This window comes from Homo sapiens, chromosome 2 (genome assembly GCF_000001405.40).
Source record: "Homo sapiens chromosome 2, GRCh38.p14 Primary Assembly".
Taxonomy (NCBI): domain Eukaryota; kingdom Metazoa; phylum Chordata; class Mammalia; order Primates; family Hominidae; genus Homo; species Homo sapiens.
Genome location: NC_000002.12, coordinates 135778459 through 135804523, shown reverse-complemented (window position 1 = coordinate 135804523; position 26065 = coordinate 135778459). Strand labels below are relative to the sequence as shown.

Here is a 26065-nt window from a genome sequence, read left to right as displayed (position 1 = left end):
TTTTAGTAGAGACGGGGTTTCACTGTGTTGGCCAGGCTGGTCTCAAACTCCTGGCCTCAAGTGATCCACCCGCCTCGGCCTCCCAAAGTGCTGAGATTATAGGTATGAGCCACCGTGCTCGACCTCAAATTTAACTTTTTAATTGTCAGTGAATTCATATGATGCAGAATTTGAAAAGCATAAAAGAGTTTCCTTCCCAACCTTGACCTCAGCCATCTAGTTCTCCCTGAAAGCAATTTACCCTTTTCCCAAAAGAAAAAGAAAAAAATCTTTGAGCCTTTTTGTCTCATAAGTCACTCTCAGGATTTGCAGCAGACGTTGATGCTGGCACATCTAACCTAGGGCTTCCCATGGAAAGCATGACTGATGCAACAGCTGATCTGGCTTCTTCCCAGGTGACCATTTACCACTGGGACCTACCACAGACGCTCCAAGATGTAGGAGGCTGGGAGAATGAGACCATCGTGCAGCGGTTTAAGGAGTATGCAGATGTGCTCTTCCAGAGGCTGGGAGACAAGGTGAAGTTTTGGATCACGCTGAATGAGCCCTTTGTCATTGCTTACCAGGGCTATGGCTACGGAACAGCAGCTCCAGGTAAGTCCCAGCCCTGGCTCATAGGCTCTTTGAATCATGGCATTCTTAGCACATCAAGAGTTGAAATCCAGATGGCACAGGACGAGGCAACCAAGAAAGCCCCATGGCAGAAACCCTGCCTCTTGCTCAGGGCTGTAGAGGTTTCCCTCCTGGCATTGCATTGTTAAACATGAATTTCACATCTCAATTCCTCAAGGTGGGTTCATTTCTTTGCTCTGTGACTCTGATCGGCCTCAGGTGGGAAGCTCTCTGAGATCAGAGATGTGGGCAAATTGATGTGGGGAAGGACAGTTTGTCAGGCTGTACAGGTCTACAGTCTATTTCCACAATTCCCAAACCCCAAAGTTTCTGACAATTGGTTTGGCTGACCTGAGCTCATTTAATAGTAGTGAAACCTGACTCAAACCAACAGGAGGCTGCTCATGGTCTTTATCGCACTGAGCAAACATTCCTAAGTTCTGCTGCAGAGATATCAGTGTGCTTGACTATGGAGAGCTAGCTGTCTGCGGCCCATGGGGCTGATAGGTACTTTTCTCAAAGGAAACATTTAATTCCAAAACACATCTGACCCTAAAAGATTTTTTTTCTTTTAACTTTGGTTGACATGCAATAATTGTACATATGTATGGAGTACAAAATATATTTTGATACATGTATACAATGTGTGATGATGAAATCAGAATAATTAGTATATTCATCACCTCAAACATTCATCATTTCTTTGTGTTGGGAAAATTCGGAGTCCTCTTTTCTAGCTTTTTGCAAATATACACTAAATTCTTTTGTATCATTATTTTTTATTCATTTTTTATTTTTTTGAGACAGAGTCTAGCTCTGTTGGCCACGCTGGAGTGCAGTGGTATGATACCAGCTCACTGCAACCTCCACCTCCTGGGCTCAAGCAATTCTCCTGCCTCAGCCTCCCAAGTAGCTGGGATTACAGGCATGTGTCACCATGCCCAGCTAATTTTTGTATTTTTAGTAGAAATGGGGTTTCATCATGTTGGCCAGGCTGGTCTCGAACTCGTGACCTCAGGTAATCCGCCCGCCTCAGCCTCCCAAAGTGCTGGGATTACAGATGTGAGCCACTGCACCCAGCCTAAATTATTGTTAACTACATTCACTCTACAGTGCCACACATCACTAGAACTTCATCTTCTTATCTAGCTTAACTTTGTATCCGTTAACCAACCTCTCCCTGTCCTCCCTCCCTACTACCCTTCCCATCCTCTAATAATCACAATTCTATTCTCTGCTGCTAGGAGCTCATCTTTTTAGCTCCCACATGTGAGTAAGAACATGCAGTATTTGCCTTTCTGTGCCTGACTTATTTCACTTTACATAATGACCTCCAGTTCCAGCGATGTTGTCACGAATGACAAGATTCATCCTTCTTTATGGCTGTATAGTATTCCATCATATATAGATGCCACATTTTCTTTATCCATTCATCTGTTGATGGACACTTAGGTTGATTCCATATCTTGGCCATTGTAACAGTGATGCAATAAACACAGAGGTCAAGGTATTGATTTGGTATTCTGACTTACTTTCCTTTGGATAAATACCCAAAAGTAAGATTGCGGGATCCCTTAGGGTTTTGAATAAGAAATTGTGGACCTATTTTTGTGCCTTGAGAACCATCCAGTTTCCCTTTTATCTAGTTCTGAGTTAATAAGAATAAATTTGTGTTCATTCATGTGATTCCTCAGAACACTGTGTAACAGCTGGAAAGAGCCACCAGGAGATGTGCCTCAAATCGTTATCAGAGGCATCTCCATTGGTCCTAGTTCGCCCCTTTGGTTTACACTCCTTCAACACATGAGAGGCGCCTCTCTTGCAGCATTCACTATCAGGGTATCTCCGTGTCAGCTGGTTGCATTAGCTACATTCTCCAACCCAAATGATCACAATGGGTCCCCAAGGAGCTCCAGATTATCAACTCCTGTCAATTCATTTGAGCCCAGGAGTTCAAGGCTGCCGTGAGCCATGCTCATGGCACCACTGCACTCCAGCCTGGATGACAGTGCATGACCCTGTCTCAAAAATAATCATAGGCCGAGTATGGTATCTCACGCCTGTAATCCCAGCACTTTGGGAGGCCAAGACAGGTGGATCACCTGAGGTCAGGAGTTCAAGACCAGCCTGATCAATATGGTGAAACTCCACCTCTACTAAAAATACAAAAATTAACCAGATGTGGTGGCATGCGCCTGCAGTCCCAGCTACTCAGGAGGCTGAGACAGGAGAATTGTTTGAACCCCTCGGCTCACTGCAGTCTCCACCTCCTGGATTCGAGTGATTCTCCTGCCTCAGCCTCCTGAGTAGCTGGGATTACAGGCGCCTGCCACCACAGCTGGCTAATTTTTTGTATTTTTAGTAGAGACAGGTTTCACCATATTGGGCAAGTTGGTCTCAAACTCCTGACCTCAGGTGATCCACCTGCCTCAGCCTCCCAAAGTGCTGGGATTATGGGTGTGAGCCACCCTGCCTGGCCTGGGTTGTCTTTTAAGTTTTAAAAAATCATTTGTACATATAGTCCTTTCTGAATATAACATTGGTTTGAAGCTAACTCAATAGAAAGAAATTCCATCTCTTTAGTCTCTCTAGTTTGACTATAGTAGCTAACAGAGCTGGGCTGCAATGTCACACTTCACCTTTAGGTGCCACCATCTGATTTGATTTGCTCCAGCCTAAGCATTTCTTAAATTGGGGGCTTTAGATTCTGCGATAGGTATCTCTATTATGGGTATTTTGCCTGAGACGTACGAGCCACTCTTCTGGAGGAGGGGAACAGAAGCCAACATTTATCAAGTGGCCTTCCCTCTTCCAGACACAGTGCTGCTGTGGGCGGGTTTCATACACTGTTTCATTTCCCTCTCACAAGCACTCTCTGCTGCCCATTTCACCAAGGAGGAAACTGAAAGGCTGAATTACTCACCCAAAGTTACACAGCCAGGTAATAAGAGGGAGAGCCAGGGTTTGAATTCCAGTTTTCCTAGTGTCAGAATCTACACCCCTTCTCCCAAACACAGAGGGGACATCTGCAGGCAGGGACTAACAATCTCAGTCACATCCATTCTATCCATTCTCTGTTGACATCCATGTGTATGTTTCCAGGAGTCTCCAATAGGCCTGGCACTGCCCCCTACATTGTTGGCCACAATCTAATAAAGGCTCATGCTGAGGCCTGGCATCTGTACAACGATGTGTACCGCGCCAGTCAAGGTGGCGTGATTTCCATCACCATCAGCAGTGACTGGGCTGAACCCAGAGATCCCTCTAACCAGGAGGATGTGGAGGCAGCCAGGAGATATGTTCAGGTCTGTTTTTCCTCTGGGCGCTTGTTCTTACTCTTGTCCATCTTTCCTTCCAGCCTAATGGAAACAGATTGTGAATCAAAGATTTAGGGTGTGGTGGCTCATGTCTATAATCCCAGCACTTTGGAAGTCTGAGGCAGGAGGATTTCTTGAGGCTAGGAGTTTGAGACTAGCCTGGGCAACATAGAAAGACCTTGTCTGTGAAGAAAAAAAAATTATTAGGGCATGGTGACACACACCTATAGTCCCAGCTGCTCAGGAGGCTAAGGTGGGAGCTTGAGTCCAGGAGGTCAAGGTTGCAGTGAGCCATGATTTCGGCACCATTAAACTCCAGGTGACAGAGGGAGACCACCCCCAACCCCCAAAAAGAAGAATTATTAGGATCTAAGCCTAGTTTTGCTATTGCCTGATTTTGTGAGCTTGGGAAAATCATCTAACTTTTTCGTACCTTAGTTTCCTCAACTTCAAACTGGAGATGTCCTGCCCACCTCAAAAGTTTGCTGTGATGAAAGTGATAAAGTCTGTGGGGTTAAGTTGTCTTTAAGTTTTTAAAAATCATTTGTACAGGTAATTCTTTCTGTAACATTGGTTTGAAGTTAACTCCTAGAGAGAAATTTCCATTTCTTCAGTCTCTCTGGTTTGACTATAGTAGCTAACAGAGCTGGGCTGCAGTGTCACACGTCACCTTTAGGTGTCACCATCTAATTTGATTTGCTCCAGCCTAGGCATTTCTTAAATTGGGGGCTTTAGATTCTGTGAAACTCATTAGTGCCCCTAATTTGCCAACTCAATGAGTTTAAGAACAGCATCTTTCAGTCATGGAATTTCACCCAAGGAAGTAGAGACATTACTAGGAAGCCGACTGGGCAAGGTGGCTCACGCCTGTAATCCCAGCACTTTGGGAGGCTAAGGCAGGCTGATAACCTGAGGTCAGGAGTTCTAGACCAGCCTGGCCAACATGGTGAGACCCCATCTCTACTAAAAATATAAAAATTACCGAGGTGTGGTGGCACATGCCTGTAGTTCCAACTACTCTGGAGGCTAAGGCAGGAGAACCCAGAAGCTGAGATCACCATTGCACTACAGCCTGAGCAATGGAGAGAGACTCCATCTCCAAAAAAAAAAAAAAAGGAAGCAGGTGCCAGCATGGCCTACCTTTATTTCCACCTGAACCCCTGACTGACAAGAGGAGAGAAGGAAAAGAATGATCCTCGTTCACGGCACAGCTCCTCTGGCTCCTCCTAGAAAGGGATAGAAGGTGCTCTCTCCTACATTTTGCATCAGGAAGGAAAGGCAAGGGTTTCTCTCTGGATTGGTTCCCACTTTGGGCTCCGTGGAAGAGTCTGCCAACTGTGGCACTATAACTCTCTCGGGGGAAACACCATGGGCCTTGGTTTGCCAAACTCTTCACAAGAGAACTTGACAAAGATAGTCAAATTAATAAATGCAACGAAGGGCTTAATTTTCTGGTCTGCTAGCCAGCTGGGGAAACAGTTTTGAAACAAAATTAATGTATCCCTCATTTCAGACTCACAGAACTGGTGATTTAGAACAACATTTCCTTTTTTCCTGAAATCAAAACTTCAAACGTCAGGAAACGTTAGGCTGTCATATCATTAGATTGAGCCACTTACTGGTGAACTGTGATACTGCAGCCATGGACTATGACAGATGCATCTCTTATTAGAATCAGCTTCCACGAAAATATCTAGTGTGTTACCTTGGAGTGGGTGCATTTAAGCCTCTTTACCAGGGCATGTGTGTTCCATGCCTCATCTCTGACCATGAGTGGAAGCTGCCCTCACCCCACATTCCCAGCAGCAGCCAGTGGGTGAGGAGAGGATTTGGAGAGACTACAGAAGGCTCTCAAACCCCCAGCATCATAGTGTTTGGGTGCCACGTATCCCCGCACATGATAAGGATGGCCTAGGCCTCATTAGAGAAAATAGGTCAAACGGTTCCCCACTCTGGGGCTGTGAAAGCCCATTAAGAGTTATACTTTGCCCGGAAAGTCAGGAAAGCCTTGCATTTCAGCCCTCCCCAGAAAGTTCTGTTTGCTCCTTGGGCACTTTGATGAGGAAGTGCAGCCGCTCAGTGGTGAGAAAGAGAACCGGGAGCCTGGAGGCTTGTGGGTTCTCCCTTCTCCTCTGCAGGACCCATCCAAGGGCAGCCAGGAAGCATTTGTTGAGCACCAGGGCCAGTGCCCAGGTCAGTTACTGTCACCTCAAGCTACAACTATGAAGAGGTGGCCCTGTCCTCAGTGCAACAGCAACTGAGCAAGCACAGACCCAGCTGGGAGACCTGTGGACACTGAAGCTGCAACAGGCAGGAGCCACAGGGAAGAGAGCTTAACCTGGGGGTCCAGGAAAAGGAGGGAGGTTGTGAGGCCAGGCACTTCTGAGCGGGGACGATGCTGTCTCTTGCTGTGCCCACCTGTAACGCCTGGGCTGTCTCCCCCACCCTACCCGCAGTTCATGGGAGGCTGGTTTGCACATCCTATTTTCAAGAATGGAGATTACAATGAGGTGATGAAGACGCGGATCCGTGACAGGAGCTTGGCTGCAGGCCTCAACAAGTCTCGGTAAGGGCCTGGTGCCCGCAGTGGTGAGGGCATGGGCGTCGGGGTCACAGAGGCATGTCTCGGGCAAGTTACCATGACTGAGCTTCTTTGCTTGCTGGGAAGTTACATGTGATCATATATGTAAAGCTTAGCCCAGCACCTGGCACTGCTATATGCTTGACAGAGGGGTTTGCTATTATGGTTATTATATTGTGGAACAGCCAGGAAATCTGTTCCAAGGCTATCCACCTCTGAGCAACCCCACTATGCCACTCCACAGACAAATCCCAGCTCATCCTATCCTATTTCATCACCGCACGTGTGAATGTGGGTGGCAGTGGCTGACAGTCAGGCGTGTGCTTTGCATCACTTGGCCAGCAGGTGGCGATGGTCTGCACCAAAGCGTCCTTCCTTACCCGCCCGCCCCTTCTTGTCAAGGAAGGAGTAGCAACATTAGCAGCCAACGTTTACCCATCTTCTGTTGGTATCTTTATTTCTATTTAAATACGAGTAAAGTGAGGCGCAAAGATTAGGGCAAGATCACCCAGCTATTAAGAGATAGAGCTGAGATTTGCAGCCAAGCTGTCGGCCCCCAGGGCGCATGCTGGGGGCTTGAGAATCATGCAGGTGGGGTGAGAGGTGTGGTGTGAGGAAGCGCAGGAAGCGGCAGTCACTGCCCACGGGAACATGCCCACCGCTCCAAGGCTGGCGGGAATCAAGTGTGAATTCCCAACATAGTCTTTGAGTCCTGCCCCTAGACGCCCCCATATAGTCCAGCTGAGGATTAAAAATCCAGCTCCCAGGCCGGGTGCGGTGGCTCACACCTGTAATCCCAGCACTTTGGGAGGCCAAGGTGGGCGGATCACTTGAAGTCATGAGTTCAAGACCAGGCTGGCCAACATGGCGAAACCCTGTCTCTACTAAAAATACAAAAATTAGCTGGGTGCGGTGGCGGGGGCCTGTAATCCCAGCTACTTGGGAGGCTGAGGCCAGAGAATTGCTTGAGCTCGGGAGGCAGAGGTTGCAGTGAGCCGAGATCATGCCACTGCACTCCAGCCTGGACGATGGAGCAAGACTCTTTGTCTCAAAAAAAAAAAAAAAAAAAAAATCCAGCTCCCACCTCACAATGCACACCCTGGCCTAGTTAGGGTAAGTTCCCCAGAGCAGGCTGTGCCTAAAGGTCTGATCTGCGAACTGTGATCTCCAGCAAAACCGATGAGCGCCCGGCCCATCTGCACAACTTTGCCGAGCACCTACCATTTGCCCGAGCCAGGGCCAGGGGGAGGGGTCCATGGAAGGAGAGGATTCCATTCGGCTCCTCAAGCTGCTGACAGATCAGCTGGAAAGACAGTTCTCCATCCCATTCCCCAGGCTCTTCAGTACAAAGAAAACTCAGAAGATGAGATCAGGGTAGGCTGGGTAGACCCAGGAGATTTCATGGACAAGGCAGGACATCAGCTGAGCTGGGCCTTGACAGGGGATAGAATGTGGGGGATTGCAGGTCATTCTTTCCACGGGGCAGAGTTGTGAAGACAGGCCTAGAGGTAAGAATGAGTGGGGGTGCCAGAGCTGAGAGTGGGGAGACCAGCCCAGCAGCAGTGAAGGGGCTGAGGCCACATGGTGGAGGGCCTGGAAGCCAAGCACAGGGCCTTGGCTTTGGTGCCACAGGCCATTGCTGGCTTCTGAGCAGAAGCGTCAGGGACAGGAGGAGGCTGTGCTTTGGTTTTCTCCCATCATCTCAGAAACCCCAGGGAAGGAAGGTTCTTGATCCCTCAGGTTAATGGTAGCAGAAAGGTCAAGATGAAAGTGTCAGAGGCCTCAGCAGGGCATCTCTGGGCCACACCTAAACCAGAAGCCCCAGGTCTCCCTGTGGGCATGCGCATGCATTCAGGATCACCTGTACATGCTGCACACAAGTGTATTAGTCAGGTTCTACAGGAGAGGCTTTTCACTCAGAGTGCCTGGAAAATGCTCCATCTACAGGTTAAGAAGCCAAAGTTCCCAGGCTCACAAGTAATCTCAGCACTTTGGGAGGCTGAGGCAGGAGGATTGCTTGAGACCAGGAGTTCAAGACCAGCCTGGGCAATATAGTGAGACTTTGTCTTTACAAAAAATTTAAAAATTATCTAGGCATGGTGACGCACACCTATATTCCCAACTACTTGGGAGGCTGAGGTGAGAGGATTGCTTGAGCCCAGGAGACTGAGGTTGCAGTGAGCTATGATTGCACCACTGCACTCCAGCCTCAGGGGGCGTGCAGTGTCCTCAGGAGGACAGGGCGAGACCCTGTCTGGGAAAAAAAAAAGGAAGAAAGAAAACAAAGTTCAGTGAAATCGTGAGAACTGAGAAATTCAAACTCAAATACTCAATTTGCAAATTATTTCCCCTGCTACTTTGAAGATCTTGAAGCTATTATTATTATTATTATTATTATTATTATTATTAGAGTTGGAGAAAAGAGGCATGCCTAAACAAACCCCAAGAGGAGCAGAGAAACTTGGAAAGGGCAGAAAACGGAAATACAAATTACACAAGATACAGGGCCGGGTGTGGTGGCTCATGCCTGTAATCCCAACACTTTAGGAGGCTGAGGTGGGCGGATCACTTGAGGTCAGGAGTTCAAGACCAGCCTGGCCAACATGGTGAAACCCCATCTCTACCAAAAATATAAAAAATCAGCCAGGAGTTGTGGCAGGCGCTTGTAGTCCCAGCTACTTGGGAGGCTGAGGCAGGAGAATCACTTGAACCCAGGAGGCGGAGGTTGCAGTGAGCTGAGATCGCGCCACTGCACTCCAGCCTAGGTGACAGAGCCAGACTCAGCCACAAAAAAAAAAAATTATACAAGATCTAACTTTACAAACATAGGGGAAGAGTCTCAGATATGTACCTCAGGCATGCTCTTGATTTTGAAATCTGTCATAGATGCTAAATATCAGAATTTGCATATGTTGTTTGAAGGAAATTAAAAACTGTTTATGCATGTGTGTGTGTGTGTGTGTGTGTGCGCGCGCGCGCGTGGGTGCGTGTGTGTGTGGTCCTTCAGGTTTCAGAGGCTCTTGTAGAGACCTAGGGAAGCCAGGTTTATGGTCTGGCTGGAGGAGCCGCAGTGCTTCCTGCACCGCCTGAAGGACCTCTTCTCCTTCCCTGCCAGTTTCCCCTACTCACTGCCAAGTGCCTGGGGTTCGGAGAGCTCCCCCGCCCCAGCCCTATGACGTTCTCTTCTCAAAGCATGGCTCTCCCTGAAGCCCTGCCCTCAATGGCTTCTTCCACCCAGGCTGCCAGAATTTACAGAGAGTGAGAAGAGGAGGATCAACGGCACCTATGACTTTTTTGGGTTCAATCACTACACCACTGTCCTCGCCTACAACCTCAACTATGCCACTGCCATCTCTTCTTTTGATGCAGACAGGTAAGTCCACCAACAGGGAGCCCGGAGCCATCTCTGGAAAAGGCAGAAAGGTGCCCTTGGCTGTGCTCTCTGAGGCCTGCCCAGCCTCAAAACAGGGCCTCCAACGCCGAATGTGCCGGGGTTTGCAAGATGCTCGCCACCCCACAGATCCCAAGGAAATCTCCAGCAAGCAAGAGGGAGAGAAGGCCGGGGTCTCCAGGGCACCTCCCATTAGGGCACATGTGCTTGGCTTTTTGTTTTTTTATTTCATTTTTAAAATTTATTTATTTTGCGTTCTTTTTCACAGGCTGCTTAACTCTAAAAATGCTTGGTTGTTAAAAAGGATTTTCAAGAAAAAAATTGTTTAGGTTTTATCAAAATTCGCTTTAATATTAATAAATATTACAATAATACAAGAGTAAAATTTTATTTTCTCTTTTTAAACAATGCTTTTATGAAGTAGAGATAGTAAAAGATTTTGGTTCACCTTTTAAGTAACAGTTTTTATTTTATTTATTTTTTTTGAGACAGAGTCTCGCTCTGTCACCAGGCTGGAGTGCAGTGGCACAATCTTGGCTCACTGCAACCTCCACCACCCGGGTTCCAGTGATTCCCCTGCCTCAGCCTCCAAGTAGCTGGGATTACAGGCGCGTACCTCCACGCCTGGCTAATTTTTTTTTTTTTTTTTTTGTATTTTAGCAGAGACGGGGTTTCATCATGTTGGCCAGAATGGTCTCGGCTAATTTTGTGTTTTTAGTAGAGACAGGGTTTCTCCATGTTGGTCAGGCTGGTCTCTATCTCCTGACCTCAGATGATCCCCTTGCCTTGGCCTCCCAAAGTGCTGGGATTACAGGTGTGAGCCACTGCGCCCAGCCGATTGTCTTTTTCTTTATGATATCTATTTATCTAGAGACTTTTTCATCCATATCCTGTATTGTTTTTTAAATTTCTCTAAGTTAATTTTCACCTTTCTCTAGTACCTCCTTGAGTAGTTTAATAATCAACCTTCTGAATTCTTTATCTGGCAATTCAGAGATTTCTTCTTGGTTTGGATCCATAGCTGGAGAGTTAGTGCGACCTTTTGGGGGTCTTATAGAACCTTGTTTTGTCATATTACCAGAATTAACATTTCTGGTTCCTTCTCATTCAGGTAGACTGTTTCAGTGGAAAGATCTAGAACTCAAGGGCTGCCCCTCAGATCCTTTTGTCCCACAGGGTGATCCCTTGATGTGGTGCTCACCCCCTTTCCCTAAGGATGGGGCTTCCTGAGAGCCAGACTGCAGTGATTGCCATTGCCCTTCTGGGTCTATCCACCCAGCAGAATTACTGGGATCTGAACTGGTGCTGAGGAATGTCTGCAAAGAGTCCTGTGATGTGATCTGTCTTCAGGTCTCCCAGCCATGGATACCAGCACCTGCTCCAGTGCAGGTGGCAGGGGACTTAAGTGGATTCTGTGAGGGTCCTTGGTTGTAGTTTTCTTTCGTGCACTGGTTTTCTCAAACGCTGGTTATGCGAGCAGTGAAGTTGTCATGTGGACAGACTCAGGACCTCTGGTTAGCCAGGATGTTGCAGGCAGTGGAATTAGTTGTTGTTTTCTCTTTCTTTGGAGCAGGGTTCTTCTGTTATGAGTTGCTATAATGGCGTGAGTTGGTTGGTCTCCAGCCAGGAGGTGGCACTTTCAAGAGAGGAGGTGGCACTTTTGAGGTGCTTTCCCCTTCCACTGCCACCAGCTGCGGTAGTAGAAGGGGGATTACAAGGTTGCCCTACGTTGGCCAGGGTATTTGGGTTTCTCAGGTTATGGGCGGGGCCATAGAGCTCCCAAGAGTTTATGTCTTTTGTCTTCAGCTACCAGCAAAGGTAGAGAAAGACCATCAGGTTGGGGCAGCATTAGGCATATCTGAGCTCAGACTCTCCTCGGGTGAGGCTTGCTGTGGCCACTGTGGGGGAATAGGGGGCTGGTTCTCAGGCCAGTGGAGTTCTGTTCCCAGGGGTATTATGGCTTCCTCTGCTGTGTCATACAGGTTGCTAGGGAAGTTGGGAAAGCTGGCAGTCACAAGCCTCACCTAGCTCCCATGCAGCCAGCAAGGCCAGTCTCACTCCTGCTGTGCCCTGCCAACAGTGCGCAGGGCAGAGATCTCACCCCAGGCCACAAGCCTTCTCTCTGAGAAAGCAAACAGGGCTTTCAGGCCTTGCCCCTCCCCACCTGCCCACACTGTTGGCTGTGGCTTCTGTGCTTTTATCTGCACTTCTTGTTTGCCCCCAAGATTCTGCTCAGGAAAATTCATGCTTCTAGTTGAAATTAATAAGTTGAGCTAGAAGCTTCCTTAATCCTGCCCCTCCCTAATTCCACTGGCTTCCTTCTACAAGGACCCCTGTAGGATAAAGTCAGGAATGGCTTCCCTGGGCTCAAGCTGGGGACAGGGAGTGGCTACAGGGCTCTTCCCACTGCTTCTTCTACTTTTACATTTCACTTGGCTCCCTAAATCCACTTGCGCTCTAGGTAAGGTTAAATCCTTCTCCTATGATCTGGATGTTCAGGTCCCCAGAGAGGATGTGTGTTCAGAGGCAGACTTTCCCCTTCTCACACTTTGGGAACTCACAGTTTTGCAGCTGTCTCATGGAGTTTGCAGTAGCATTCTGCTTCTTTCAAAGGTCTGTGAATTCTTTTGGTTTTTCTGGTATGTTCCAGCAGTAGTTCTTGGAGCAACAGTTAACAATGTGAGTCTCCACACACTGTTCTGTCCATCCAAGTGGGAGCTGTACCTAAGTCCTGTCTCTTATCTGCCATTTTCAGAAAATCTCATTTTGTTCCTTTTCCATCAAGCATCTTTCCACACCAGTAGCTCTGACTGTGTCCAGGTTCTTTCTTTGAAAACCAGCCCCTCCACTCCCACTGTATCCTGAAACCCCCAGAGTCAGGCTCACCAAGGGGGCTGAGGAGACTCCAGAACACCCCTCTACTCCTTCTGATTCTCCCTCCCTCTTATGAGCCCTGGGGCTGTCCCTGGGAAGACCTCCACTAGTGCTTATGAAATGGCCCACATTCAATTCAGCTGAGTCAGATAAATCCAGGTGCTGATAAAACCAACATTTTTTTTTTCCCTGAAAGATCTGAGTGTAGGAAGTGTCTAAATTCTTGGTTCTTATTTGACATATGTGACTACAGGTGATCAGGCTTCTGTGGCCTCCCCCAGCAGGCACCCCTGTGGCAGGAGCTGTCCACCTCCTCGTCCATCACTGAAGAGAGAGGCCAGGCTCTTGGACACTTGAAGGAGGTGCCAGCCTGTCTGCTGCCTGTCTTCACACAAAGCAGGGCCCCTACAAATATTCGTGCCTGTGGCCTCACCCGTGGTCTGCAAGTGGCATTGACTAGACATGGGTGACTTGGGGGAGCCCATTCTCTGAAGACACAGCACTGGCGTCCATTGGAAGCCTGGAGCTGGGGACCCATAGCCTTTCATAGCTGGTGTAAGGAGCCATCTATTCAGAGTAGTGGAGGGCTGGGCTCCATGAGCAAGACCATTCTCTGCACAGGCAGAGAAATTGAAGGACGGAGAGCTGAGTGGCTTGTCCAATGCTATACAAGCACAGAGTGCAGGCAGCTAGAACCAGCGAAAGGAGGAGAATTTGAGGCAATTTGATTCTTCTGGGTTTAGTATGATTCTTAAGGCTAGACAAAACCTAAGGCTTTTCCTGGTCTAAGTCCTGTTTTGTGTTTCGTGTAAAGGGCCTCTTGAGATTTACAAAACAAGACCTCATCTTTAGTTTTTGAACTTGTAGAGGAGTTGCTTCCATCGCAGATCGCTCGTGGCCAGACTCTGGCTCCTTCTGGCTGAAGATGACGCCTTTTGGCTTCAGGAGGATCCTGAACTGGTTAAAGGAGGAATACAATGACCCTCCAATTTATGTCACAGAGAATGGAGTGTCCCAGCGGGAAGAAACAGACCTCAATGACACTGCAAGGATCTACTACCTTCGGACTTACATCAATGAGGCCCTCAAAGGTACGACGGGCCCGCCCTTCCCCAGCGTGCACCTTCCCCTGTTGGAAACATCTGCTATTTGCAGGAGTGTGATACAGCGTCCTTGGGCCACAGTAAGAAGAGAACGATAAGCCTTCTTGCTCCTGTGGGGGTTAAGCTTTGCTTTAGGGCCGCACTCTGAGTTTTTTTCCTTCCTATGTCTAAGCTCAGCAAGCAAGCCCAGTGGCCTGATGCCACCAAACCCTAGTTCCTGGCCTGAGTCACTTGCTCCCCTTGATCCTCCCTGATGTCGGAACAGCAGTGCCCTCCTGAGAATGGTCTGGGTAGGGCCCAGGAGGAGTAGGCTGTGTGGTTGCCTGTAGGGTCTCTTAGTCTCCGAGCAAAAGTTTGAGGCTCTTGGCTCAGCCCTAACAACTTGAGATGGGACCATGAGGATAAGAGAATGGAACAAATGCTGAGTAAAAGAGCAAGCAATGCACCAGCAAAGGAAATGATTAGAAAAATCCTACCCAGCTGAAATATATTCTATCTAAGGGCTATTTTCTACAGGGAGAAGCATTAACATTCTAAGGCACTGACCAAGATCATGGATAGAAGTGTAGGTGACCCAGGGAAATTAGTCCACCCATGTTCCCGACTCCCATTCAGGGCTGAGCCTTTCTAAAGATGCTGGTGGCTCTACATCTCCATCCACAGAGGACCCGCTAACAGTCACTGCATGCAAAGAAAGGGGCAGCTTTCTCACAGAGCTAAAGCCAAAGCTTACCGCCATCTGTGAAGGCGGTGGGGAGAGCAGTAGGCAGACCTGGCTTCCGAAGGCCTGGCAGGAAGCTGCCTTATGAGATAGGAAACTTATGCCTAGTCCTCTGTGTTTGAGCAGCTGTGCAGGACAAGGTGGACCTTCGAGGATACACAGTTTGGAGTGCGATGGACAATTTTGAGTGGGCCACAGGCTTTTCAGAGAGATTTGGTCTGCATTTTGTGAACTACAGTGACCCTTCTCTGCCAAGGATCCCCAAAGCATCAGCGAAGTTCTACGCCTCTGTGGTCCGATGCAATGGCTTCCCTGACCCCGCTACAGGGCCTCACGCTTGTCTCCACCAGCCAGGTGAGATGTGGCTCTGGGAGGGAATAAAGCCTAAGGGTGAAGGGCAGGTGGAAGGGCCTCTCTCAGTCTGTTTTCTTCTAGTTTATTACCCTCCTCTCTGCTGCCCCATCTCCTTCATTCATTCAACAAATGTTTATTTTCTTTGAATGCTCCAGACATTTCCTGGGGTGGAACAAAGGACACTTAGGGTCAATGTTACACCTAGAAACCAGAGCCCTGACCTGGGAATAAGCAGGTCTAGACTCTTCTTCCAGCCCTACCACTAACTTGCTGTGCACTCATAGATAAGAAACCAGGCACATGCTTCAGGGCAGTTATAAGGATCAAATAAAGGGACCATGAAAGTACAATGCCTGCACCATGTGGGTGCCCCGTATTTGTTAAATGTAAGAGTATAAATCACTACACAAATGTAAATGACAATTATCCAGTTTCAATTATACAGGCTGAGAATCCTTCATCTGAAAATTCAAAATCCAAAATACTCCAAAATCTGAAACTTTTTGAGCATGACTGGCATGACAACACAAATGGAAAATTCAACACCTGACCCCATGTGACAGGTCGCAGTCAAAACACAGTTAAAGCTTTGTTTCATGCACACAATTATTTAACATATTGTATAGAATTACCTTCACACCACGTGGATAAGTTGCATATAAAACATATATGAATTTCATATTTAGACCTGGGTCCCATCCCCAAAATATCTCATTATGTATATGCAAATATTCCAAAATCTTAAAAAATCCCAAATCTGAAACACTTCTGATCCCAAGCAAGCATGTCAGATAAGGGATATTCAACCGTATTCTAATTGCTGATAGAGATGTTTAAAAAATACAACTGCTTAACTTCACTCAGAGGCTCCTGACACACAGTGAAAGGGGATGGGTACCTCCACCTCGGCATCCCGTCAATGGCTGTGCGGATTTGGGGTACCGTGCAGCCTCTGCTGGGGTCTCAGAGATCTGAGAACTCAAATCAGCGCCAGAGCACCAACCACCCTGTGTCACACTCTCCTAGATGCTGGACCCACCATCAGCCCCGTGAGACAGGAGGAGGTGCAGTTCCTGGGGCTAATGCTCGGCACCACAGAAGCACAGACAGCTTTGTACGTTCTCTTTTCTCTTGTGCTTCTTGGAGTCTGTGGCTTGGCATTTCTGTCATACAAGTACTGCAAGCGCTCTAAGCAAGGGAAAACACAACGAAGCCAACAGGAATTGAGCCCGGTGTCTTCATTCTGATGAGTTACCACCTCAAGTTCTATGAAGCAGGCCTAGTTTCTTCATCTATGTTTACCGGCCACCAAACACCTTAGGGTCTTAGACTCTGCTGATACTGGACTTCTCCATAAAGTCCTGCTGCACCGTTAGAGATGACTTTAATCTTGAATGATTTCGACTTGCTGAGTAAAATGGAAATATCTCCATCTTGCTCCAGTATCAGAGTTCATTTGGGCATTTGAGAAGCAAGTAGCTCTTGCGGAAACGTGTAGATACTGGTCTAGTGGGTCTGTGAACCACTTAATTGAACTTAACAGGGCTGTTTTAAGTTTCAGAGTTGTTAAGGGTTGTTAAGGGAGCAAAAACCGTAAAAATCCTTCCTATAAGAAGAAATCAACTCCATTGCATAGACTGCAATATCATCTCCTGCCCTTCTGCAAGCTCTCCCTAGCTTCACATCTTGTGTTTTCCAGAAAATAAAAACAGCAGACTGTCCTTTCTCCTATGGTTGCCCCTCCTTGAGAAAGTAGGTTCAAGAGAAGTTATGAAGTCACACAAGCCATCTGGAGCTCCGATTAAGCTTTCTCACCAGACCAAGTCTTTCTGTTGACATTATATTCCTTGGGGCAAATACCACAACATGCAGAAAGTGGCCTTTTCCCACCCCTCGAACACCCCCACTGCCACTTTTTATGCCATCCCCAGCTCTCCCATCTGACCTTGGTTCATTTAGTCTGTTTCCTTCCTCCTTTCCCAATTTGTGGTAGTTCTAAACGGCACATAGGACAACTATCCATATTCCTTTGTGTCTTCCCAAATGCTACTCCTTCCACCTAGGATGCCCTTTCTTCTGAAAATGCCTTTAAGTCTCAGCTGAAATAATGTACTTCCTCCTCTGAATGGCTTCCCTGAAATCCCCAGGCAGATTCTCCTTCGTCTGCTTTGCTTGTAAATATCCCCTATTACAACTTGACCATCCAGTTTCTATACTGGAATTGCGTATTTCTCTATCATCAGCTTCTTAAGGCCAAGGACCATGTCTCATTGTCTCTGGCAAGCACAACTTGGAGAGAGCAATGAAAAGCACAAATGCTCCTTTCGTGTGTTCACCCATTCACATAGCATTTCCAGGGCAGTGGTGGGAGCAGAGATATGTTCTTTATAATCCCCTCAAATGTGCTGAGAGACAATCTCAGTGTGAAACACCTAAACACTTGATTGGCCCATATATTACATCTAGATAGCTGGGAAAATGTTTTGTAACAACAGAGTAATTTTGGGCTGGTCTTAAAAGGATGATCACACTTGAAATTTGCTTCTTGTAAGCATTCCTTTCCCTATCAAAACATTCCAACGCCATGAGTCCCAACCTGGCAGTCAGGAGCTTGTGGTGCACAAGCATTTTTCTCCATCAATCGACTGGAAAAGTTTGTCAGATGGGGGTGGGGGTGGTTCTAAAATTGATATTAAAGACATTTGTTGGCCGGGCACGGTGGCGCACACCTGTAATCCCAGCACTTTGGGAGGCTGAGGTGGGCAGATCACGAGGTCAGGAGATCGAGACCATCCTGGCTAACATGGTGAAACCCCATCTCTACTAAAAATACAAAAAATTAGCCAGGCGTGGTGGCGGGTGCCTGTAGTCCCAGCTACTCAGGAGGCTGAGGCAGGAGAATGGTGTGAACCTGGGAGGCGGAGCTTGCAGTGAGCTGAGATCGCACCACTGCACTCCAGCCTGGGCGACTGAGTGAGACTGTCTCAAAAAAAAAAAAAAAAAAGACATTCTTTGGGGAGAAACTCAGTATCATAAGGTGCCAATTATACCTAAATAATCTCAAAACTCAACATCACTTTTTTGGGACAACACTAACAAAATAATATAAAGAAGTTTCATATATGAAATAAACTTGTAAGAAGAGCCAGGATAAATCTGGGGGAAGAAGATTAAAACACATTATAAAGCTAGCTTAGTTTGGTATAGCAGAGAGCAAACAGATCAATAAAGGAAGAGAAAGCCTAGACACAGAAGCATCTGCACATGGAACAGATGCCCACCTCGCAGGCAGTGCGCCTACTCGGGGCAGAGGGCCCATGAAGGCAGTGAGGGAACAGGCTCCTGGGGATGTTAGCCACGGGCATGGGAAGGAGCCAGGTCCTTTCCTTGGATACCAGATTTAAACATACAAAAAGGAAACCATAAGAATCCTAGGATATAAAAAAATTAATTTTTGAAGTGGGAAAGGTATTTATAAGCAAGACTCAAGACCTGGAGGTCATAAAGGAAAACACAGATAATACTGTGGAAAAAATTACCAAATATACTCAACAAAAGGGAGGGAGAAGCCAGGCGCGGTGGCTCACGCCTGTAATCCCAACACTTTGGGAGGCCGAGGCAGGCGGATCACGAGGTCAGGAGATCAAGACCATCCTGGCTAACACGGTGAAACCCTGTCTCTGCTAAACAAAATACAAAAATTAGCCAGCTGTGGTGGTGGGCACCTGTAGTCCCAGCTACTCGGGAGGCTGAGGCAGGAGAATGGTGTGAACCCAGGAGGCAGAGCTTGTAGTGAGCCGAGATTGCACCACTGCACTCCAGCCTGGGCAAGCGGGAGACTCCGTCTCAAAAAAAAAAAAAAAAAAAAAAAAAAAAAAAAGAGAAAATATTCACTGCATATGCTAGCAAATGGCTGTAATGTACACAGTAGTCTTATAAATCAGTAAGAAAAATATGAAAACAAAAATTGGCAAGGAATACACGGAGCTCTCACGATAAGCCAAACTGATCAATAACATCAAGATGCTCACTTCATTCATGATAAATACAATGCATACGAGATTGTATCATTTTTCATCCATCATTTTGACAAAGCTAAGAAAGTATGATAATACAGTGTTGGCAAGGGTGTGGGAAAATGGACATTCTCATGACTGTTGGTAGGGGTTCAAATTCACACAGCTTGTAGAGGAGGCAATGCAACAGCATCTTTCACAATCCAAACTGCAAACACTCTTCTTTCACTTAGCAAGTTATACAAACATATTCTACAGGTATATTTTCACAGTAAGACTATACCTCCCACTGAAGGTTGCTTACGATGGCAATGTTTGTAATAGAAAAACAAAATTGTGTAATAACCACTGACTGCCACCAGAGCATGGACAGTAAGCTGAATGCAGTACATTCATCAAGCAGAATGCTATGCAACCATTAAAAATGAGGTAGCTCAGTGTCGACAGGAAAAGATCTCAAGACTATGTAAGCAAAAAAGCAAGATGCAAGGTAGAATATATAATATGATCCCATTTATTTAAAAAATAAAGATTACATATTTGCTTATATACGCATACAAATTTTCTGAAAATTACATAAGAAATTGTTAATAGATTACCTCTGGAGAATAGTACTGGGGTAAGAGGTGAGGGGGCAGAATTCTCATTTTACAGCCTTATATACTGTTGTGAATTTTTTTTTTTACCATGTACTTTTAAAAATACAAAATTGAGGAGGGAACCTCCTACTCCAAAATTACGAAGCATTCTTTTATGTACATTTCTCTAAGAGTTATATTTGATATTTTTCAAGGCAAACTGACTTGAGGTACTCGATGTTTTTAAATGTATTTCTAATAATTATTAGTAGGGTCACACCTATTTGACAGCTTTTTTAAAAAGTCACATATTGCTGTATTTTTAAAGATGACAAACCTTTATTTAAATGAGATGCTTGCTGGAGATTTTCTTTTTCAAACTCACTTTTTAAGTTATGGAAATAATATCACTGCTGAAAGTTTGGAAAACATATATAAGGGTGCCAAAAATACCACTAAAATCACATAAACCAATCTTACCATTATTAATGGTGTGATTTCTTTCTTTACATATCTATTAATACCTAGTACTATCTATGTAGAAAATGTGTTTGCAAAGCTGAGATCACACTGTACCTATAGCTCTGGATCCTGCTGCTTTTTCCCCCAACACTTAACAGATGCTCAGTAAACATGTTAAACCAAGTTGTTAATTAGTATTGTACCATTTCTCCTCATCAAAAATTACTTCTATAGAAGGCATTTAGTTGGTTTCCAGTTCTTGAGTAAAATAAATAACACTTAATGAGTATGTCTTTACCTAAACATTGTCTGCATTTATGATTTAGAAGAAGCTACTGGATCAAACGGTATGAAATATTTTAAGTTTCTGATAAATGTTTTTCAGAAGAATTATACTGGTTTTCACTCCTACCAACAGCGCAGCCTGTGTTGCTGTTTCCTTGCCAACACTGTCACCATTTTAAAAAGTCACTGTTATTTCACAGGTAAAAAATAGAAAGTTTGCTCTGAGAAAATTTCTTCCTCCCATTACAAAATAAAGTCACAGTCTTTCCGTATGTCCACTCTAGAGTGCTATCTTCCAATCTAAAACAGAGGAACTGTTTTCAAACATCATTAGTTTAGCGGTCTCCACTAACAAAGACATACGGATAAAGTAACATGTAAGTCAGATTAAGAATCTCAACTTTTTAAGAAAAACCAAATGACTAAAGGCATATTTTTATTCTATACTTTTTGTCCTATAGGTACTCTAGGTCCTTGTGTAATTATTGAGGACAAAACGTCAGTTAAAGGTGAGAGGGAAAACTAGGTTGCAGACTAGCAGCTGTTTTGCATCTCACAAGAACAAAGGCCTTAACAAACCGTATACTTTATGCAAACAAAGTGATGCCTCACTGACTTAGGAGACAAGTCACATGCCATCAGTGTGTCAGAAAATTTCTTTCTTCAGTGATAGTTAAGGTAACCTCGCCAGCTACTTTCCAGAGACAGCTCCAGGGCAATACTGGGGAAAAAAAAAAATCAGAGACATAGGACCTCAATAGAGCCCTGTGCAACAAAAAGATGCTAGATAACAAAACTCAAAGCAAAACTAAGATCATTCCAATTTAGGGGAAAGTTTTTTTATTCAGTGTTTAAGATTAAAAACTACAAGATTTTGCTTGCAGCTGATGAGTAAAAAGAGAAGTTAAACATAAATTCTCATCTGAGTGGCTAGTTAAAATGCTCTGACACCGAGTCAAGTTACTCAGTGACATACCAGTTACTTTGGGCTTAAGAGTCTTGGAGCAAAGTAGCTCTAAACAAAACGTGTCATCTGAAGCATAGGGCTAATGGGCATATGAAATACTAAATAAGAAGCTGATGGAGGCAGGCTGTGGCAGATTTTTGGTTCTTTTAGGGTTCTAGCAGTGGTTGCCATATAAGCAAGGACCTAGCAGAGAGTTATTTCCTGTCTTTACTTTTCTGAGTTAAACACCTTCAACCCACACCCACTAAGCAGGAATAAAGAGACATTTTATAGACCAGTTGGAAAATATAAAGCAGTCCCACTTCTCCAGTAGAATTTTAGTTGAATTAAATCATAAGAGAAACAATGATTATTGCACATATTATACTTGTCACACTACATCTGTTGAGTGGAATTTCCATTCCAAGTGTTGTTTTCATCTTCACCATCATCTTGAGTCCTTAATCTATAAATTTTCCCCTCCTTTTTAAAGTCGTCTCCACGTTTTTCCAGCACTCTTTTTCTCACTGGTTCCCTGATACGAAAAAGAGGGAGCAAGGGGAAGATGTCATAAAATAAAAACAATAGTAATACAAGCTGTTTCCAACTTCCATCAGTACAGGCAACTAAGTTTTACTTTTAATGCCATCTAAAGTAAGGAAAGTCCATGGGAGACCATTATATCTACTAACACAGTACTAGACTTTAGCAGTCTTTGGTAGTTTAGCTTCATCTGATCTCTAAGTCAAGCCAGCCAGCCAAATCATATATTCCATTTCCATTGTGTTTCTTAGTGACTTAATAAGCATTAGAGGAGTGTGACCATTTGCCAACTAATCTTTCCTTTGTTATTTATGCAAGCCGACATTATCTACTAAAACATTTGTAACTTAGCACCCTAGAGACTATCCAAAGCTCCAGTCAGCTTGACAGAAAGGGTCAATTTTAAATCCTTCGCAAAATCTTCAAGAATGACTTATTTATAAACAATTAAGAATGAAGAGGACTTCCTATTCTGAAAATACAAAGGTATAAGGATAAAATTTAAGCCAACAGACTTTTATAACTCTAGAGGGGAGAGAAAAAAGGAAAAATAATGGTGGAACACAAAGCTTCACCCTCTCTTTGACACACCTTTTATTCCATCCTTTGCTCTAATCTAAGACCTTTCTCTTATTTGAAAAAAGTGTTGTTTTTTGTTCTTTTTTGAGACAGGGTGTCCCCTCTGTTGCCCAGGCTAGAGTGCAGTGGCACGATCACGGTTCACTACAGCCTCAAAACTCTGGAGCTCACACAATCCTCCTGCCCCAGCTTCCCAGGCAGCTGAAACTATAGGCACACGCTATCACACACAGCTCACTAAAAGTTTTTTTTGTAGAGATGGAGCCTCACTATGTTGCCCAGGCTGGTCTCAAACTTCTGGCCTCAAGTGATCCTTGCACCTCAGCTTCCCAAAGAGCTGGGATTACAAGTATGAGGTACCACACCCAGCCTGAAAAAAGTTTTAAAAATCCATACAACGAGCTCTCCTATATTACAGTAATTCAGTATTAAATGCTCCCACCCATTGCTCAGTAAGAGTTTTAAGATTCAGCCTTGTTTGAGCTTCCCTCTGTCCTCACTACAGTAACGTACTTAGTAGGTAACTGGTCTTCCTGCCTAACAGTTATGAAATAAGATAAAGGACAAAGCAGCCCAATCACAATACTTATATGTCATTACCTATGGAATCCATAAACACATGACTAGGGCTTCTCCATACTGAGGGCAGAGAAAAAAGAATTTCTATTACTTATCACATAGGACTGGCATGAAGATTTGTTATAATGCCTATAAAAGGCCTCATAGAGTGCTTAACAGCGGTGTCCATTTCAGTAAGTTACATTATTATGTAATTATTAGAAAGGGGCATAAACTTACTTTCTAGGAAAATACTTCCCATTAACCTGTTTCAAGTATATAAAATCTTAACAAAGATAGGAGTTAAAATTGTCAGTGTTGTATTACTATGCTAACCATTGCATGCTATCTGCTATAAAAGTTGTTTTGTTTTTGTTTTGAGACAGGATCTCACTCTTACTCTGTCACCCAGGCTGGAGTGCAATGGCACAATCTTGGCTCACTGCAGCCTCAATCTCCCGGGCTCAAGTGATCTTCCCATCTCAGCCTCCCAAGTAGCTGGGACCACAGACATGTGCCTGGCAAATTTTTAAATTGTTTTTGTACAGACAAGGTCTCACTATATTGCCCAGGCTAGTCTTGAATGCATAAGCTCAAGTAATTCTCTCGCCTCAGCCTCCCAAAGTGCTGGGATTACAGGCGTGAGCCACTGCATCAGGCCCTGGTCTCTTGGTTAAGGGATTAGTCCAAAATAATTCTCTGAGAGAGAATTTTCAAAGCAATAACCTGTTTCCACAATTTGGTCCTTCTCTGAATGATCCAGACAAGGCTGTCAGCCGGTAGATAAAAGAACCAACAGGGTTAAAATGATCAAAACAGAGTAGTTCACCTACAGTAATTATGCAAGATGACCCTGAACGATTAATGCAATGAACTATCTTGTCAAGCAAACATGGTTAGCAAGAAAGAGGTTACTAGAAAAAAAAATCTGCCTTGATAGTTATGGGGTAAAGAAACTTCAATGAATGAAACAATAAACCAGTAGAGGTGAAGCTGCTTTCCAAAAAATTGGTTTTATAAAGCTGGCTGAGAAAACGCAGGTAGTGAGCTCTGCAGTAGAGATGATGTAATAAAGTTTCAGAGCATCGGAGTTTTTCTCCTCCACCGTGGGAACTGGAGAGGACATATACAGAAAGGCAAAGTACTCAACTTTTTACTTAAAAAAGATACTGGGCATGACTTACATATTTTATAAATGGGGAAAACACACACAGATACCTTTTTTCTGATTTGCTAGATGATGCAGGGTTTGGGGGTTCTGACGATGTTACTCTCACTGAAGTCTGTGTGGGAGGCGGATTACTAAACAAGAAATTGCTAATTAATCTCCAGATGGCAAGGAATGGATAAAGCACTGTTCCCAACAAGGTCCAAATGTCTCCGCTGGAAGAGTGTACAATGGATGCAGTTGGTCTTCCTGCCTAGAAATTAATAAACAAACCTAGATAAAGACTACGTTAGCACAATCACATCACGCCCAAGGTTCCAGATGAAACTTTTATCTGGAAAAGGAGGTCCTACCAATTTTAGTTTACTTCAAGAGGGTAAAATGATATCTTTTGCTGTTTTTCACGTATATATAAACTTCTGAAGACTCCCAGAAGTTTTTAAAGATAAATATACAATATTATACAATTGTATATAATTGTATAATAACTGTATAATTGTATAGTATACAATTATTTTATATATTATATATATTATATTTTATATAATATATTATAATTATAAAATTATTTTATATAATTATTTTATATAATAATTGTATATAATTGTATAATATTGTATATTATATATACAATTGTAATTTTATGTTATAATATTTGGAGCTGTGTTTAAGAGAAATTGTAATATACAAACTAGAAAGTAGTTCTCAGTGAAATGAGCCAACTATTTTTTAAGAATATTAAACTTTTATAAGAAGAGTCTTTCTTGCTGATTTAAAAAAAAAGGTTCAAACAATGAAATCCTGATTACTGGAGAGCTAACTGTTTTGGGGTGGAGGGCACGTCTAGTATAGAGCAAGGAAAACTATGTTAACCAGGACACAGAAGACCCAGGCTCTCATCCCAGTTACGGCAGCAGTCATTTAAGCTGTCTGAGCTTCTTTTCTTCACCAGAGATTAAAATATTGTTGTGCAGATCAAATGGGATAATCTGTTTGAATATTCATGTTATTTTTGGCAAACAGTAGAGCATATATAAATAAAAGACACTAAGTGTGTGGATTAGACAGATAATCTGCATTTCTTACTGTCTTCTCCTATTGGTCATTTTTTTTGTACACAAAAATATGTGAAGAAAAAAGTTAAAAATTAAACTGTTTCATGTCTCACAAGTAATATCAGCAATACAAATAAAGCACAGGATAATGGAATTATAAATTCATCTAATTATTGGATCACTTGAATTTTAATTACCTTCAGTATATCTGTGCACTTCCTTTCCCCTAATTATAAGAAATGAAGAGTATGATAAACAGAAAACAATAAGAAGAGAAAAAAATGCATCTGTATATACATACTGGCAACAGTACCACCGAAGCGCTTGGGGCAAGTTCCAAATCCAGTAACTTCTTTTTATAATCTTCTTTGGTAAATTCCCTCCTGGGAAACATGGTTGCTAACGAAAAATTACCGTAAGTGTTGCCAACAGTCTGTAAAATAAGTTTTAAAAACTTAAAGAGTGCCTTTAAAAGTAAGATATTACTCAGATGAATCCAAAATGATGCTTTAATTAACATTGCCTTAATTTTAAAAGTTCATTACATGTAAACTCAAAAAAAGGTATAAAATTGTGCTTCCAGCCCCTAAGCAGCTGAAAAGCTATCAAATCCAAATAGTTTTTAAAAGCTTCTGTAACTCAAAGATGACCACAAAATAGCAAAATATAGTTCCTAAAAACACACAAATAAATTGAGTAAAAATGGACAATTGTGTATCTCCTTTAAGTACTGTTGCAGTTCATCATTAGGTTTTCACTATCCTTTGGCAAACTTAATGTCTCATGAACACACATTTGGATTACAGGTAATCCCTATTAAGAATTTGGACTAGACCAGTATTTCCCTCATATATACCTTCAGGAAGTGTAGCCTCCTCCTTGTCTCAAGGCATAAATGGTCCATAATCAACCTACATGATAC

General features: G+C 44.1%; 2 protein-coding genes across 3 annotated transcripts in view, besides 2 other annotated features; one reads left to right on the top strand and one right to left on the bottom strand.

Moving 5' to 3' along the window:
• The window catches only part of LCT (lactase), a 49335-nt gene extending 32661 nt beyond the window's left edge, over window positions 1-16674 (top strand). Inside the window, exons 11-17 of one of the 2 annotated variants that reach the window (NM_002299.4) lie at window positions 396-594; window positions 3715-3917; window positions 6386-6495; window positions 9749-9883; window positions 13643-13866; window positions 14726-14953; window positions 15980-16674. In NM_002299.4, coding sequence (NP_002290.2) covers window positions 396-594; window positions 3715-3917; window positions 6386-6495; window positions 9749-9883; window positions 13643-13866; window positions 14726-14953; window positions 15980-16200 — 1320 coding nt within the window. In that variant the 3' untranslated portion in view covers window positions 16201-16674. Of the gene's footprint in view, window positions 1-395; window positions 595-3714; window positions 3918-6385; window positions 6496-9748; window positions 9884-13589; window positions 13867-14725; window positions 14954-15979 lie in introns of those variants that run through there. The other variant, XM_017004088.3, reaches the window with a different exon arrangement.
• Window positions 6070-6593: an enhancer, noted in NCBI's record as "H3K27ac-H3K4me1 hESC enhancer chr2:136555501-136556024 (GRCh37/hg19 assembly coordinates)". NCBI's record gives its function as "activates a minimal SCP1, AML or CMV promoter by ChIP-STARR-seq in primed H9 embryonic stem cells {active_cell/tissue: H9 hESC(primed)}" and the evidence as "EXISTENCE:reporter gene assay evidence [ECO:0000049][PMID:30033119]".
• Window positions 6594-7115: an enhancer, noted in NCBI's record as "H3K4me1 hESC enhancer chr2:136554979-136555500 (GRCh37/hg19 assembly coordinates)". NCBI's record gives its function as "activates a minimal SCP1, AML or CMV promoter by ChIP-STARR-seq in primed H9 embryonic stem cells {active_cell/tissue: H9 hESC(primed)}" and the evidence as "EXISTENCE:reporter gene assay evidence [ECO:0000049][PMID:30033119]".
• Window positions 19468-26065, bottom strand: part of UBXN4 (UBX domain protein 4) — a 43202-nt gene continuing 36604 nt past the window's right edge. Inside the window, exons 11-13 of the mRNA NM_014607.4 lie at window positions 25445-25576; window positions 24139-24341; window positions 19468-21775 (exon numbers count right to left, since the gene is read on the bottom strand). Of these exons, the coding sequence (NP_055422.1) occupies window positions 21637-21775; window positions 24139-24341; window positions 25445-25576 (474 nt within the window). The 3' untranslated portion in view covers window positions 19468-21636. The remainder of the gene's footprint in view (window positions 21776-24138; window positions 24342-25444; window positions 25577-26065) is intronic.